The sequence below is a fragment of the Homo sapiens genome, chromosome 7 (assembly GCF_000001405.40).
Source record: "Homo sapiens chromosome 7, GRCh38.p14 Primary Assembly".
In the NCBI taxonomy this organism is placed as follows: domain Eukaryota; kingdom Metazoa; phylum Chordata; class Mammalia; order Primates; family Hominidae; genus Homo; species Homo sapiens.
This window is the reverse complement of record NC_000007.14, coordinates 39998897-40014698: the sequence shown is the minus strand read 5'-3', so window position 1 is coordinate 40014698 and position 15802 is coordinate 39998897. Positions and strand designations below refer to the sequence as shown.

The 15802-nt window shown below is 37.9% G+C and overlaps 1 protein-coding gene across 5 annotated transcripts in view; it reads right to left on the bottom strand.

Moving 5' to 3' along the window:
• The window catches only part of CDK13 (cyclin dependent kinase 13), a 149325-nt gene that overhangs the window by 84882 nt on the left and 48641 nt on the right, over positions 1-15802 (bottom strand). For all 5 annotated transcript variants that reach the window (XM_017012750.3, XM_017012751.3, NM_003718.5 and 2 more), the window contains exons 4-5: positions 15199-15338; positions 12668-12838 (exon numbers count right to left, since the gene is read on the bottom strand). In XM_017012750.3, the coding sequence (XP_016868239.1) occupies positions 12668-12838; positions 15199-15338 (311 nt within the window). The remainder of the gene's footprint in view (positions 1-12667; positions 12839-15198; positions 15339-15802) is intronic.

Below are 15802 nucleotides of genomic sequence, written 5' to 3'. Positions count from 1 at the left end.
GGATCACTTGAGCCCAGGAGTTCGAGACTGGCCTCGGCAACATGTTGAAACCACATCTCTACAAAAAATTACAAAAATGAGCCAGGTGTGCTGGAATGTGCCTGTCATCCCAGCTCCTCGGGAGGCTGAGGTAGGTGGATCACTTGAGCACATGAGGTCAAGGCTGCAGTGAGCTGAGATGATTGTGCCACTGTACTCCAGCCTGGGTGACAGGGCAAGGCCATCTCAAAAAAAAAAAAAAAAAAAGAGAGAGAAATACACATGGCCTCTAAGTATAAGAAACTATTCAAGCTCCACAGAAATTAAAAAATGTGTATTAAAAAGACAAGACAGGCTGGGGGCAGTGGCTCACACCTGTAATCCCAGCACTTTGGGAGGCTGAGGCGGGCAGATCACGAGGTCAGGAGTTCGAGACCAGCCTGACCAACATGGTGAAACCCCGTTTCCATTAAAAATACAAAAATTAGCTGGGCGTGGCAGCACTTGCCTGTAGTCTCAGCTACTCAGGAGGCTGAGGCAGAAAAATCGCTTGAACCCGGGAGTCGGAGACTGCAGTGAGCCAAGACCGCACCACTGCACTCCAGCCTGGGCAATAGAGTGAAATGCTTGTCTCAAAAAAAAAAAAAAAAAAAAAAAAAAAGACAAGACAGCATTTTTTGCCTATCAAATGCCCAAAGATAAAATTACTATAAATGCTGGTTGAAATGTACAATAAGCACTGTATTATTTTTTGAAAAAAGTAGAAGTTTTTTGATATTTTGGTTCCTTGGCATAGTATTCAAACGTCTAGCACCTTTACAGTCTCATCTTTTATAACAGAGACACCCCTCACCCGTCTATCCCTCTCAATTTGGACTCTATTTTCATTAAACACAGAATTCATAGGAGCTAGTTATCGTTTTTTTCCTTAAATAACAGCTTTATTGAGATATAATTCACATATCATACATTCAACCACTTAAAGTGTTCAATTGGTTTGAGTGTACTTGGAGTTCTGCAACCATCATCACTACAATGAATTTTAGAACATTTTCATGACCCTAGAAAGAAACCTCACACGCATTAGCAGTCATTCTCCATTTCCAATCCCCTCCCCATGTCTCTGGCAATCACCAATCTATATTCTGATAATATTTGGCACCTATTCTAGATATTTCATATAAATGGAATCATATAATACATAGTCTGTTGTGACTAGCTTTCTTTCACTTAGCACGTTTTCTTGGTTTACCCAAATAGTAGCATGTATTACTTCATCTCGTTTAATTTTTTTAAATTGTGGCGAAATACACACAACATAATCTTAACCATTTTAAAATGTACAGTTCAGTGGCATTAGCATATTCATACTGTTGTGCAACCATGACTACCACCCCTCTCCACAACTCTTTTAATCTTGCAAAACTGAAACTCATTAAACAGTAACTCCCCATTCCTCTCTCTCTTAAGCCCCTAGTAACCATCATTCTACTTTCTGTCCCTATGAATTTGACTACTGTAGGTACCTCACATAAGTAGAATCACACATATATTATCTTTGTGACTGGCTTATTTCACTTGGCATGTCCTGAAGATATATCTATGTTGTAAGCATGTGTAAAAATTTCCTTCATTTTCAAGGCTTAACAGTACTTAATTGTAGGTACACACCACATTTTGCTTATCAATTCTTCCATCCAAGGACACTTGGGTTGCTTCCACCTTGCGGCTACTGTGAATAATGCTGCTATGAACATGAGCTTAACAAATCTCTTGGAAATGCTGTTTCCCTTTTTTTTTTTTTTTTTGACACAGAGTCTCACTTGGTCGCCCAGGCTGGAGTGCAGTGGTGCAATCTTGGTTCACTGCAACCTCCGCCTCCCGGGTTCAAGTAATTATCCTGCCTCAGCCTCCCAAGTAGCTGGGATTACAGGCGCCCACCACTGCGCCCAGCTGATTTTTGTATTTTTAGTAGAGACGGGGTTGCACCATTTTGGCCAGGCTAGTCTTGAACTGACCTCAGGTGATCCGCCCACCTCAGCCTCCCAAAGTGCTGGGGTTACAGGCGTGAGCCACTGCACCCGGCCTTCAGATTTTTTATTATCTTTTAAATGTTTTATTTGACAACATCTCACTCTGTCACCCAGGCTGAAGTGCAATGGAGTGATCATAGCTCACTGCAGCTTCAAACTCCTGGGCTCAAGCAATCCTCCCACCTCAGCCTCCTGAGTAGCTGGGACTACAGGCATGTGCCACCTCACCTGGTTAAATTTTTTAATTTTCTGAGGAGATGTGGTCTTGCTATGTTGCCCAGGCTGGTCTTGAACTCCTGGCCTCAGGTTATCCTCCCACCTTGGCCTCCTCCCAAAGTGCTGGGATTATAGCTATGAGCCACCACACCTAATGACAATTCTTTTGGAGATCCAGTAGTAGAATTTCTAGAATTCTATTTTTGATTTTTGGGGGAAAGGCCATACTGTTTTCCAAAGCAACTGCACCATTGTACTCTCTCTGTAGCAAAGAGTAAGGGTTCCAACTTCTCCACATCCTGGACAACACTTATTTCCTAGGGTTTTTTTTGTTGTTGTTGGTGGTGTTTTGTTTTTTATAATAGCCATCTTAATGGATATAAAGTGGTAACTCACTGTGGTTTTGATTTGCACTTCCCTAATAACTAAGTTGTTGAACATCTTTTCATGTGCTTATTGGCCATCTGCATATCTTCTTTGGAGAAATATATGTTCAGATCCCTTGCCCACTTTTTAATCACGTTGTCTTTTTTCATTATTTAGTTCTAAGAGTTATTTATACATTTAAGATACAAGTTCCTTATAAGATATACAATATACAAATATCTTCCCCGTTCTAAGTGTTGTCTTCTCATGCTGATGATAGTATCCACCTAAAGGACAAAAGTAATTTTGATGAAGTTCAATTTATCTATTTTTTTTCTTTTGTTGCCCCTGCTTTTGGTGTCATATCTAATAAGCATCTGCCCAATCCAAGATCATAAAGTCTTACTCCTACCTTTTCTTCTAATAGGTTTATGGTTTTAGTGCTTACATTTAAGTCACTGATCCATTTTAAGTTAATTATTGTATGAGGTATGAAGGGGTCCAACTTAATTCTTCTGTGTGTGGATATCCAGTTATCCCAGCACCAGTTGCTGAAAAGCTATTCTTTCCCTCTGAATCATCCTGCCACCTTGTCGAAAATCAGTTGAGCTTATAAAATGTGTGGAATTAATTTCTAGACTCTCAATTCTATTATTGATCTATACGTTTATCATAATGCCAGTACCACACAATCTTGAGCACTCTAGCTTTGTAGGAAGATTTTGATTTATGTAAATTTATAAAAATAGAGACAGGGTCTCACTATGTGGCCCAGGATGGTCTCAAGCTCCTGGACTCAACTGATCCTCCTGCCTCGGCCTCCAAGGGGTTGGGATTATGGGCATGAGCAAACGTGCCCAGCCTGTAGGAAGATTTAAAATTGAAAATTGTGAGGGTTCCAACTTTGTTCTTCTAAGATTCTTTTGGTTATTCTAGCTCCTTTGAATTTGCATATGAATCTCAGAATCAGCTTGTCAGATTCTGAAGTCAGCTGAGATTTGATAGGAATTGTGTTGAATATGTAGATCACTTTGAGAAGTACTGCCATCTTAATAATACTGAATTTTCTAATCGATGAACATGGAATGCCTTTTCATTGTCTTCAATTTCTTTCAATTATGTTTTCTAGTATTCAAGATACATGTCTTGCACTTCTTTTATCAATTTATTTCTAGATGTTTTATTCTCTTTAAGGCCTTTTTAAATTGTTTTCTTAATTCTACTTTGTTCATTACTTGTATACAGAACAATCAATTTCTGCATCTTTTATGCTGCCACTTTGCTGAACTTACTTATTAGTTCTAACAGTTTTTTAGTGCAGGGGTCCCCAATCCTAGTACTGGCCTGTGGCCTGTTAGGAACCAGGCCGCACAGCAGATGAGTGGCAGGTGAGCGAAGTTCCAACTGTTTTTTGTTTTGTTTTGAGATGGAGTCTCCCTCTGTCACCCAGGCTGGAGTACAGACGCATGATTTCAGCTCACTACAACCTCTGTCTCCCAGTTTCAAGTGAAATCTGCCTATGCATCCCAAGTAGCTGGGATTACAGGTGCATGCCACCATGCCCAGCTAATTTTTGTATTTTTAGTAGAGACGGGGTTTCCCCATGTTGTTCAGGCTGGTCTGGAATTCCTGACCTCAAGTGATCTGCCTGCCTTGGCCTCCCAAGGTGCTGGGATTACAGGTGTGAGCCACCACGCCTGGTCCTCCATCTGTATTTACAGTCACTCCCCACTGCTCGCATTACTGCCTGAGCTCCGCCTTCTGTCAGATCAGCAGCAGCATCAGATTCTCATAGGAGCACAAACTCTAGTATGAACTGTGCATGTGAGGGATCTAGGTTGCACACTACTTACAAGAATCTGATGCCTGATGATCTGTCACTGTCTCCCATTGCCCTGAGATGGGACCATCTAGTTGCAGGAAAACAAGCTCAGGGCTCCCAGTGATTCAACATTATGGTGAGTTGTTAATTATTTTATTATATTACGATAATAATAAAAATAAAGTACACGATAAATCTAACGTGCTTGAATCACCCCAAAACCATCCCCACCTCCCCCACAGTCTGTGGAAAAATGGCATGAAACCAGTCCCTGGTGTCAAAAAGGTTGGCGTCCACTGTTTTGGTGGATTCCACAGGATTTTCTCATGCATAAATATACACACACACAAACTAAAGACAGTTTTACTTCTTCCTTTCCCATTTGGACACTTTTTATTTCAGTTTCTTGACTAATTGCCCTGGCAAGAACCTCTAGTACAATGCTGAATACAGGTGGTAGAAGCAGATATCCCTGTTTTTCATAAGATGTCCTTTATCAGGTTGAGGCAGTTCCCTTCTACTTCTAGGTTGCTGAGTGTACCCTGGATTTGGGAGTATAAATTGGCACCTTTTTTCTGGAAAACAACTTGGTAATATATGTCAAGAAGTTTCAGAATTTAAAAACTTCGGTCTATCAATTCAATTCCTATTGATCTATTTAAGGAAATAATCAAATGTTAAAAAAAGAAATGTTTACCCCTAAGGACATTCAGAATGGAAGGAAATCTGGTTCTAGTATCTATGACCCACTGACTGCTAGGATTGATGCAACAGCTGCTCATTATGTAAGACTTTTGTCCTCAATTCTTCATTCCTAACCAAACCAGTAATTCAGAATTGATTAGGACTTTTCTTAGCACATGAAGCCTCTGCTTTAACTAAAGGCATATGAATAGTGGCAGGTACCTGCTAGAATATCCAAGCATAAAACTTCAATAGAAGGAACTATAATGAAATGCCTAAAGGAACTTAAATATGCAAAATGGAGGAATAAAATATAGTTCAGGCTACATTTCACCCAAGTGACATTATGCCATTACAAAAGCATTTTATTAAATAAGACAATAAAAGAAGCAGAACCTTCCATTTGGTAATCAATAATCATACAGATGTGAGAAAAGAGACACTAGAGGAAAATATAGACAAATGATGATAGTGACATTATCTGGGTCATCTTATTTTCTCTTTTACACTTTGTTTTTCAAATATATGACAAATATTTATTTTATCATCAAGTAAAGAAAACCTACACATTAACATTCTTCTTTCTCCTCTTCTGCCCCACCCCCAAAAAGGTACTAACTCTACACAGTAACAGTACTATGCCAACAAAGGGGCAGAATCCTAAAACTATGAATGCCTGACCTTATACCTTAATTGTAAATTTGATATAAAATTCCAGATAAAAATAAAATGTAGAACGCAGACTATTTTGTAAGTTTTATCTTTTACATAACATAATGAATAACATGATAAAGTAACTTATGAGTGACTTTCAACCCTGCCTTAACATGCTGCTGGAAGCCGCACTGTTACAGGAACATGTTATTTTCAATTAAAAAAACCCTGCAAGTTCATTTCTCTTTTTAGGAGGGGAAAAAAAGATACATAGTTTACAGTTGCTAAGAACAGACTCCTTAGCAAAGCTCCCTGACTTATTGGGTAGGTTCCACAGTGAGTTACTGTTTAAGTTTTTTCACTTCTTTTGAAACTCAACACCTTCAACTGAAATTCCAACAATTACAGATTAACTAACAATAAAGAAAAATCTCTAGGCAGAAACAGGTTTGTCATTCATGTATTAGTCTGATTCAGTTCTGGCAGTGTTTGCTGATTCTTCTGGTTCCAGAAACTAGGTTGAGTCAGGGACCAGATGTTTGTTTGTTTAATATCCCCAGTATTTAGATGGACATTATTCAATGCTAAGATGATGAAAATGTTCTGTAACTTCATTGTCCAAAATGTAGCCAGTAGCTACACGTAGCTACAGAGCACTTGGAACATGAATAGTGCAGTTAAAGAACTAAACTTTTGATTTTATGTAATACTAATTAACTTAAATAGCTACATGTGGCTAGTGGCTACTGCACTGGCCAGCCCAGATCTATCTAGAAACTAGCACAATAAACATTTGTGGAAAGAAAGAATGAACAAATCAATGTTGCTTTCTTCTCAAACCTCAGGAGATATCAGCAGTTCTAAACTGCGGGAATATAAATTCAGACCTAGAAAAACACAAGGTAAATAATTTGGAAGCTAGGTATTCTTTAGGAGATATGCCGATCTTTCATTGTCTTGTAAAAACAAGTCATGACACTAATAATTAGAATGCCCTCCACTATACCTATCCAAACTGCACCCACCTTTAACATTCCACCTATTCCACAGAACATTCCTACCTCTCCATTTCATTCATTCACTTACTCAAAATTTAATGATAATCAACTGTGTGCTGCACACAATGAACACAAAGAATAAAATTGAGTCCCTGCTCTCAGAAATACAGTAAGAATAAGATATGAAAACATGACAAGTTATATGAAAATACAAGTTATGGCTGGGCGCGGTGGTTCATGCCTGTAATCCTTGCACTTTGGGAGGCCGAGGTGGGTGGATCACTTGAGGTCAAGAGTTCAAAACCAGGCTGGCCAACATGGTGAAACCCCGTCTCTACTAAAAATAGAAAAAAATTAGCTGGGTGTGGTGGCGGACATCTGTAATCCCAGCTATTCAGGGGCTGAGACAGGAGAATCACTTGAACCCGGGAGGCAGAGGTCGCAGTGAGCCAAGATCATACCACTGCACTCCAGCCTGGGTGACAGAGCGAGACTCCGTCTCAAAACAAAAACAAACCAAAGCAAAAATACAAGTTATATGAAAGTACTATTACAGAATTACGTATGACATGCAATTCAAGTATACAGGAGCACCTAACACTGTTTGGGAATCAGAGAGTACACAGGGAGTGACATGTGAGGACTTCTTCCCCGGACCAAACAGTGACATGTTGCCACAAGCATTTGCTATAGAATACTGTCTTCTTGATTTTTAGGAAAATTCCACACTAGAGTGCTCAAATTCCCTCATTATAAAAACACTAATATTCCAAGTATTATAGCTAAATTAATTACGGGATAGTAATTATAATACTGATGTTTGGGTGTCCAGGATACCATGTTAAGTTTAAGTACCAAAACACTGTTAAGTAGGAAGATTTTATGTGAAATTTACAGTTAAGGTATAAGGTCACAGATTCATAGTTTTAGGATTCTACCCCTCTGTGTAGTACTGTTACTATGCAGAGTTAGTACCTTTTTGAGGGTAGGGCAGAAGAGGAAAAAGAAGAATGTTAATGTGTAGGTCTTACCAGCAGAGACTGGTACATTTCAGTTTAGGAATTTTTTTAATCTGAATACTGAAATATTTACATCTTGAAATAAAGATCAATGACTCGAGTTTTTACTTCATACAGCATAAAAATCTTCTCTAGCAAGATAATTTGAGACACAGTCTCACTCTGTCGCCCAGGCTGGAGTGCAGTGGCGCAATCTCGGCTCACTGCAACCTCTGCCTCCCGGGTTCAAGCGATTCTCCTGCCTCAGCCTCCATAGTAGCTGGGATTACAGGCGTGTGTCCCCACACCCAGCTGGCCTCTTGGCCAGGCTGGTCTGGAACTCCTGACCTCTGGTGATCCGCCCGCCTCAGCCAACCAAAGTGCTGGGATTACAGGTGTTAGCCACCACACTCAGCCTACCCAGAGAATTATAAACAGCACTAAAATGTTTAATATTTAATTAAATATTATTTTACTCATTCAGAAAGTATTTTTCTACAACTTTGTAATCCTCAGTGAAAGGAAGAAAGTAACAAAGAAAAGCTTATGTTGCAAAATAATTCTTTTATTTTCAGCAAATGCATCTCCATCCATAATCTGTTGCAGTATAAACACCCAACAGTTCAAAGACTTTTTGAACAGTCAAATATGAACATAAATACTGAAACTAATGTAAGTAACTGCATCCCACTCTCCTTCCATACATGAAGAAACTGAGTACCTAGAGGAACACGAAAGGCTCTCTCTGATCCCAAAACCCCACCTTGCTAACAATAAAAGATTAAAAATCAGACAAAAAGGTTCAAAGTTCCCCTCAAAGTGATTAAAAGAGATGAAACTATATGCAGATGAAAGCGTTAGGAGGAAATTTCAGAATCAGTTTATCCCCTGTCCATTCACCCAATTAGTTTAGAAAAAGTTTCTTCAGGCCAAGTGTGATGACTCACGCCAGTCCCAGCACTTTGGGAGGCCAAGGCAGGAGGATCAATTGAGCCAGGAGTTTGACGCCGGCCTTGGGGAACATGACAAGCCTCATCTCTACAAATCACTTTTTAAAAAATTAGCCAGGCACGCTGTCATGCGTGTGTGGTCCCAGCTACTTGGGAGGCTGAGGCAGGAGGACTGCCTGAGGTCAAGGCTGCAGTAAGCCCTGATTGCATGCCACCGCACGCTAGCTTGGGTGACAGAATGAGACCCTGTCTCAAAGAAAAAACAAAACAAAAAACAAGAAAAATCTTCTTCAGCATCTGCAAGTTTCTACACAAAAATATACCCATGACTTGGTGATACCACTTAACCCTCTGTTTCTTAAGAATAATTCCTTTTTTAAGACGCAATAAAATTTCACTTTTGGCAGGGCACAGGGGCTCACGCCTGTAATCTAAGCACTTTGGGCGGCCAAGGCAGGCAGATCACTTGAGGTCAGGAGTTCCAGACCAGCCTGGCCAACATAGCGAAACCCTGTCTCTACTAAAAACATAAAAATTAAAAATTAGATGGGTGTAGTGACACACACCTGTAATGCTGGCTACTTGGAAGGCTGAGGCACGAGAATAGCTTGAATCTGAGAGGCAGAGATTGCAATGAGCTGAGACCATGCCACTGCACTCCAGCCTGGGCAACAGAGCAAGACTTGGGTCTCAAAAAAAAAAAAAAAATTCACTTTAAATAATTAATTGAAATTAATAACCTTCGTGATTAACTTTTTCTCATTTTTAAGTAAAGCTAAGTTTTAAAAAAATATATTTATGATGTTTTCCTTTTTTTTTTTTTTGAGACAAGAGTCTCGCTCTGTCACTTAGGCTGGAGTGCAATGGTGCAATCTCGGCTCACTGCAACCTCCACCTCCCAGGTTCAAACAATTCTCCTGCTTCAGCCTCCTGAGTAGCTGGGACTATAGGCATGCACCACCATGCCTGGCTAATTTTTGTATTTTTAGTTGAGATGGGTTTCACCATGTTGGCCAGGCTGGTCTCAAACAACTCTTGACCTCAGTCGGGTGATCCACCTACCTCGGCCTTCCCTAAGTGCTGGGATTACAGGTTTAAGCCACTATGCCAGGCATTTATGATGTTTCTCTTACACAACTAATAGCTTAGTTAGTTATAACAGTGCAAATGTTTATATTTTTAAAAGTTAATATTTTTACTTGATTTTTGTATTGTTTCTAATTTGCATATTTACATTGTTTAACTTTTGCTTTTTAATGTTTATATGTTCTAATACACTCATTTTAGATTAGCCCATAACATTTAACCAGTGTTATTGAACTGTCTTTATGCTCTAACTAGACAATCAAATTTAGTTTAATACCACACAGCATGGCAATCACAATTAGTGTAATGTCATACAGCTAGCATGCTCAGGATTAGACTTCAAATCTAGTTCCCTTTTCGGAAAATCATGTTGCTTCATCATAGTTCCCATCAAAATTATTAGATTCATTTAAGAAATAATTATGTTTTAAATTTTATAACCTCTCACATTCTCTAATGCATTTAAGTAATTCTAGGTACCTACATGTAACTTCTCACATAGTAGAACACATTCTTATTTATCATGATGCATAGAATTACAAACAGGATTATGGTAGGAAGAAAGATGATGAAGGGTGCAAATAACACAAAAATCTATGATTTCTGAAATGCAGCGCTAGGCACTGAGGAGAAACAAAACTAAAAACAAAGCAAAATACAAAGGCTCTGGGAATTTATAACCTGATAAAGAAAATAAATTATGACCATAATTATAATACCAGGAAGACTATTAATATATTCACAAGTAGTACTGTTTAAGTATTAAAGTATAAATAGGATTATTAAAAAAAATAGAGCTCATATATTCATTCAACAATTAGTCATTCAGCACATTCTATGGTCCAGCCACTGAGCTAGGTAGGAGGCACAACAGTGAAGAAAACAGGTATGGTTCCCAGCTATCTGTACAGAAACAAGTAACAAACCATTATAATTATTCCCACTTATTAGGAAACATTAAATTGTCTGTGTCTATACGTAGTAGAAAGTGGGAAGACTGATCAGGTAAGGCCTCACTAATGAATAAAGCAACATTCAGGCTGAGACCTCAGGCGTGAGAAATTAGCCTTTCAAATTGTGCATGCGTGCATGTGTGAATGAGTGTGTGGGTATGTGTGTGTCTGTCAAGCTTGGTGGGCAATCAAAATGGCATAGATGGGATTGGAGAAGTAGGCAGGGAGGTGATCTCACAGATCAAAAAAGCAGGACGTCCCTGGTATGCTGGAGGAAAATCAAATACACTGATTTGGCTAGAGCCTGAGGTTAATGCAAAACAAACAGCATTTGCACAAACTTTCATGTTTAAAAGTCTTAATTCTAACTATGAAAGACAATGTTTCCCTTTTATGGATGAAGGGATAACAGACTCAAAAGGGCTAAAAGTCTTGCTAATAAGGCCACACCACTAATACACTAAGTCTCAAGACCCAGACATTCTAATTTAAGTCACACCAGTACCCCATCAACCACACAATAAGTAGTAATGAAAAATAAAGTTAAAAAGACAAACCAGGGTAAAAGTCAGGCTGAGAAATGAAAGCTTTACTAGGGACAAAAACTAACAGAAGTGACATCAATTAAAATGATGATTCTGAACTCCATATTGTACTTTCAAACAGTTCCTTTATGCAAAATAACTACCATGTAGTTTATCAATCATTTTGAATTGTGTCCCTCAACAGAGTAAGAGAGAGAGAGAGAGAGAGTGTGTGTGTGTGTGTGTGTGTGTGTGTGTGTGTGTGTGTGTGTGTGTGTGTGTAGCTGGGGAAGACAGGAGTCTAAGTACCATGTTCAATCAGAACATACCTACTTTAATCTTTTTCTTTTCGTTTTTAGAGATAAGGTCTTGCTCTGTCACCGAGGTTGGAGTGCAGGGTGCAATCACAGCTCACTGAAGCCTCTATCTCCTGCACTCAAGAGATCCTCCTGCCTCAGCCTCCTGAGTAAATGGAACCAAAGGCATGTACCACCAAGCAGGGCCAATTTTCTGGTTGTTTTTTTTTTTTTTTTTGTAGAGATGGGCTCTCGTTATGTTACCTAGGCTGGTCTTGAGCTCCTGGGCTCAAGTGATCCTCACACCCTGGACTCCCAAAGTGTTTGGCTTATAGATGTGAGACACTGTGTCTGCTTTATGTTAGATTTAGTTTGAGAAAAAGTTTTGCTGTTTGCAAACCTCAGAATACAGTCAGTAAACTTTGGTTCTAAAATCTCATAAAGATTTAAATGTAAGATTTATATAAAGATCCTATATTTACATCTAAAATATAAGATTTAAGATTTTATGAAGATTTAAATCTAAAATCTTACGAAGATGTAAAACATACCAACAGTAGAGCACTGCTTTCACCCATCATATGCCCTATAATAACTACTTTAATAAGCAGGCTAATTTTTTGTCAGCTTCTCTGCTAAATAATAACTATACATATATACATACCCCACTATAGATTATTAAAGGCAATTTCAAGTATGATTTTTGCCTCCACACTTTCAGAAATAATACATATGCCTACTGTAAAGTTTCCTTATATGTTAAGGCATTTGTAACATAAAAATGTAGGGTAAAAATACTACTACTATGAACTGGTTTTTCAACTACTAAAAAATGAATACTAAAAACTATACACTGATGCCCAATAAAACATATATTACTAGTGAATACTTTATGTGTAATATTGGCAAATACCCTTTACGAAGTTTACTCAAAAACCACTAAAGTAAATCAATTCATTATTCAACTCTACCAAACTTAAAAATATAGTTTCACGATTAGAGCAATAGTTTGTAATTACTCAAATAGTCACATCTATAAAAAAAATTTCCAAGTTAGCAACATCAATCATGAATACAAAAAATTCGTTATTTAAATATGCACACATACCTTTGTCCTTCTTGAAATCCAAAGCATCTTCTTTATCAGTCACTATTTCCTTCATATTGATAATACTCTGATGGGTAAGCTGCCGGAGAATTTTAATTTCTCGAATTGCTGTAATTGGAAAGCCTTCCTTTTCATTATCCAGACGTACTTTTTTTAAGGCTACCATTTCTCCTATTAAGGAATTTAATAAAATCAGGTTACCAGTTAACAAAAGCAGATGACATTTTTCTTAACTTTAAATGTATTTTAATTCAATTCTGTTCTTATTTCTCAAAAATAGAACCACAAAGTATGTTTCAGTTTCCAATATACCAAATAATATTTATAGTTCAAAAAATTAAGTCTGTCATTAAACAAATTATGGAATATTTACATAAACCAGGGAATACTATACAACCATTAGAAAGAATGAGGTAAGTCCAAATATACTATGCTCCCCATTTATATATTTAGTGAAAAAACTAAGATGCTTTTACATTCACTTGGGAAAAAATAAAAAGAAAACAGAAAGATGCTAGGCCAGGCGTGGTAGTTCACACCTGTAATCCCAGCACTTTGGGAGGCTGAGGAGGGCAGATCACGAGGTCAGGAGTTCGAGATCAGCCTGGCCAACATAGTGAAACCCCAACTCTACTAAAAATACAAAAAATTAGCTGGGCGCCTGTAACCTCAGCTACCTGGGTGTTTGAGGCAGGAGAATCACTTGAACCCGGGAGGTGGAGGTTGCAGTGAGCCAAGATCACGACACGCCACTGCACTCTGCACTCCAGCCCTGGCAACAGTGCAAGACTCCGTCTCAAAAAAAAAAAAAAAAGATGCTGAAGACTGGGTATATCACACTGTCATTTTTATTTTTTTTAAGTAAACGAGGGAAAGACAAATATAGCCAATATGCTTATGTATGCATAAAAATTTCTCTGAACAGAGAAGAAAAACTCTATCAGTGAAAAAAATACGCTCAGACATATTACTTGACCAAACCTGGCCAGTTACCTAGCAGTAAAACTGGAATTCAAAATCCAGTTACTTGTCTCAAAAATATATGTTCTTCCCCACTACACTAAATTGCCACATAATTTAAGTATGAGTCAGCTTTGTATCAGAAATGATCCAAATAGAAAATGAAATATACACACATACACGAAGCCTATTACAAGAAAAAATTCACTATAATAAAGGTTTGTTCATTCCACTTCCTTGGAGAAAAAAAATGTTCTTACAAATTTTCTAAAAGAAGGAAGCATATTCTTTTAATCATTAAACTTATTCTATTAATTTTTATGGAATGCCTTCTATATTGTGTATGAGTCCGTTTTACTTAACAGTTTTAAAAGTTGTCATTTAATCTTTTTGATAACACATCATTATAAACACCAATTATTACTCTATGCAGTAATTGCCCTCAGTAGTTTCTAACCGTAAGGTCATCTCCCATATACTATATGGCCTCTAATAGCTGTGCTATTTTAATCTATTTGTTTCTTTCTTTGAGACAGAGTCTCGTTCTGTGGCCCTGACTGGAGTGCAGTGGTCCAATCTCGGCTCACTGCAACCTCCACCTCCAAGGTTCAAGCAATTCTCCTGCCTCAGCCTCCCAAGTAGCTGGGATTATAGGTGCCCACCACCACACCTGGCTAATTTTTGTGTTTTTATTTTATTATTTTCTGAGATGGAGTCTCGCTCTGTCGCTCAGGCTGGAGTGCAGTGGTGTGATCTCAGCTCACTACAACCTCCACTCCCTGGGTTCAAGCCTCAAGCCTCCCGAGTAGCTGGGTTTACAGGCATGTGCCACTATGCCCGGCTAACTTTTGTGTCTTTGGTAGAGACAGGGTTTCTTCATGTTGGCCAGGCTGGTCTCGAACTCCTGGCCTTAGGTGATCTGCCTGTCTCAGCCTCCCAAAGTGCTAGGATTATAGGCATGAGCAATCACGCCCGGCCTATTGGTTTATTTCAATAAGCAGTTATGAGTAAAGAAAGATAAAATACTAGCTCTATGCATTATTAAGTAAAATACATAGCTTCTGACACAGCTACTTTTTGCTCTCCTGTGAAGCCTTTTAAAACTTTCTCTGAATTCCTGATTATGTTCTGAAAGATTAAGCTGCTAAAACTGGCCTCCAAGGATAGTTACTGCAGGAAAAAAAACTGAAGGCTAAATGAAAGTGTTGTGTAAGGCTTATGACAAAAAAAATTTACTACTAAAATTAATTCAGGTCAAGATACCTTTCCCTCTGATTAATAACAGTATAAGAATTATTCACCATAAAAGAGGAAAGAAAAACTAAATCCTACCATACAGTATATCACAAATACTAAAGGAACACTTTTTAAAATATACACATATACAGACCCACTTACATGTACTCATATCTTACAAAATGCATATATAGAATAAAAAAACAAGATGAAACAAAAGCACAATAAAATTGAATTTAATTTTTTGGAAAATTTCTGAAGCCAAACATCAGAAGAGAAACACAAACTAAGTACATTCCGTAGGCCCAAAGATCCCCAGAACTTGGCATTCTTACCAGTGTCTTTATCCCTGGCTTTGTAAACTTGTCCGTAAGTACCTTCTCCAATAATTCCGATGATATCAAATTTATCCACGCAGCGTTTTCCCCAGTCAATATCTTTTTCTTTGGTTTCACCATAGCGAGGCCCACATATTCTATCAAATATAGTTCTAAAGTTTTTATATACAATCAAGCAAATTGAATAAACTGTCTAATAACTCAATATCTACTCGCCACCCAATTGTATATTCTTTATTTTTCCCTACCCTTGCAGTATTTATCATCATCTATCCCAAACAAGTAACACTGATTTGGTATTGTAAGTTATCGTAAAAACTGAGGTATCATTTCTACATACTGACTCTTCTTCTGTAGACAAGTATTTAAACTGAGAAAAAAAGTAGTAGAGCTTGTATGAAGGCTTTTCAGAAATAAAATATAATTTTTCAGTGAGAAGATGAAACCAACACTAGTAGAGTCAAAATTCTCTAACCAATCTCCAGAAAGTTTTATTTTGCATCCATTAACAATAATATATATAATCTACTTTTACGAAACAAGAGTTTGATAAAGAATGTGAACAAAAATCTAACTATAAAACTTATTGACAAATTTAGAC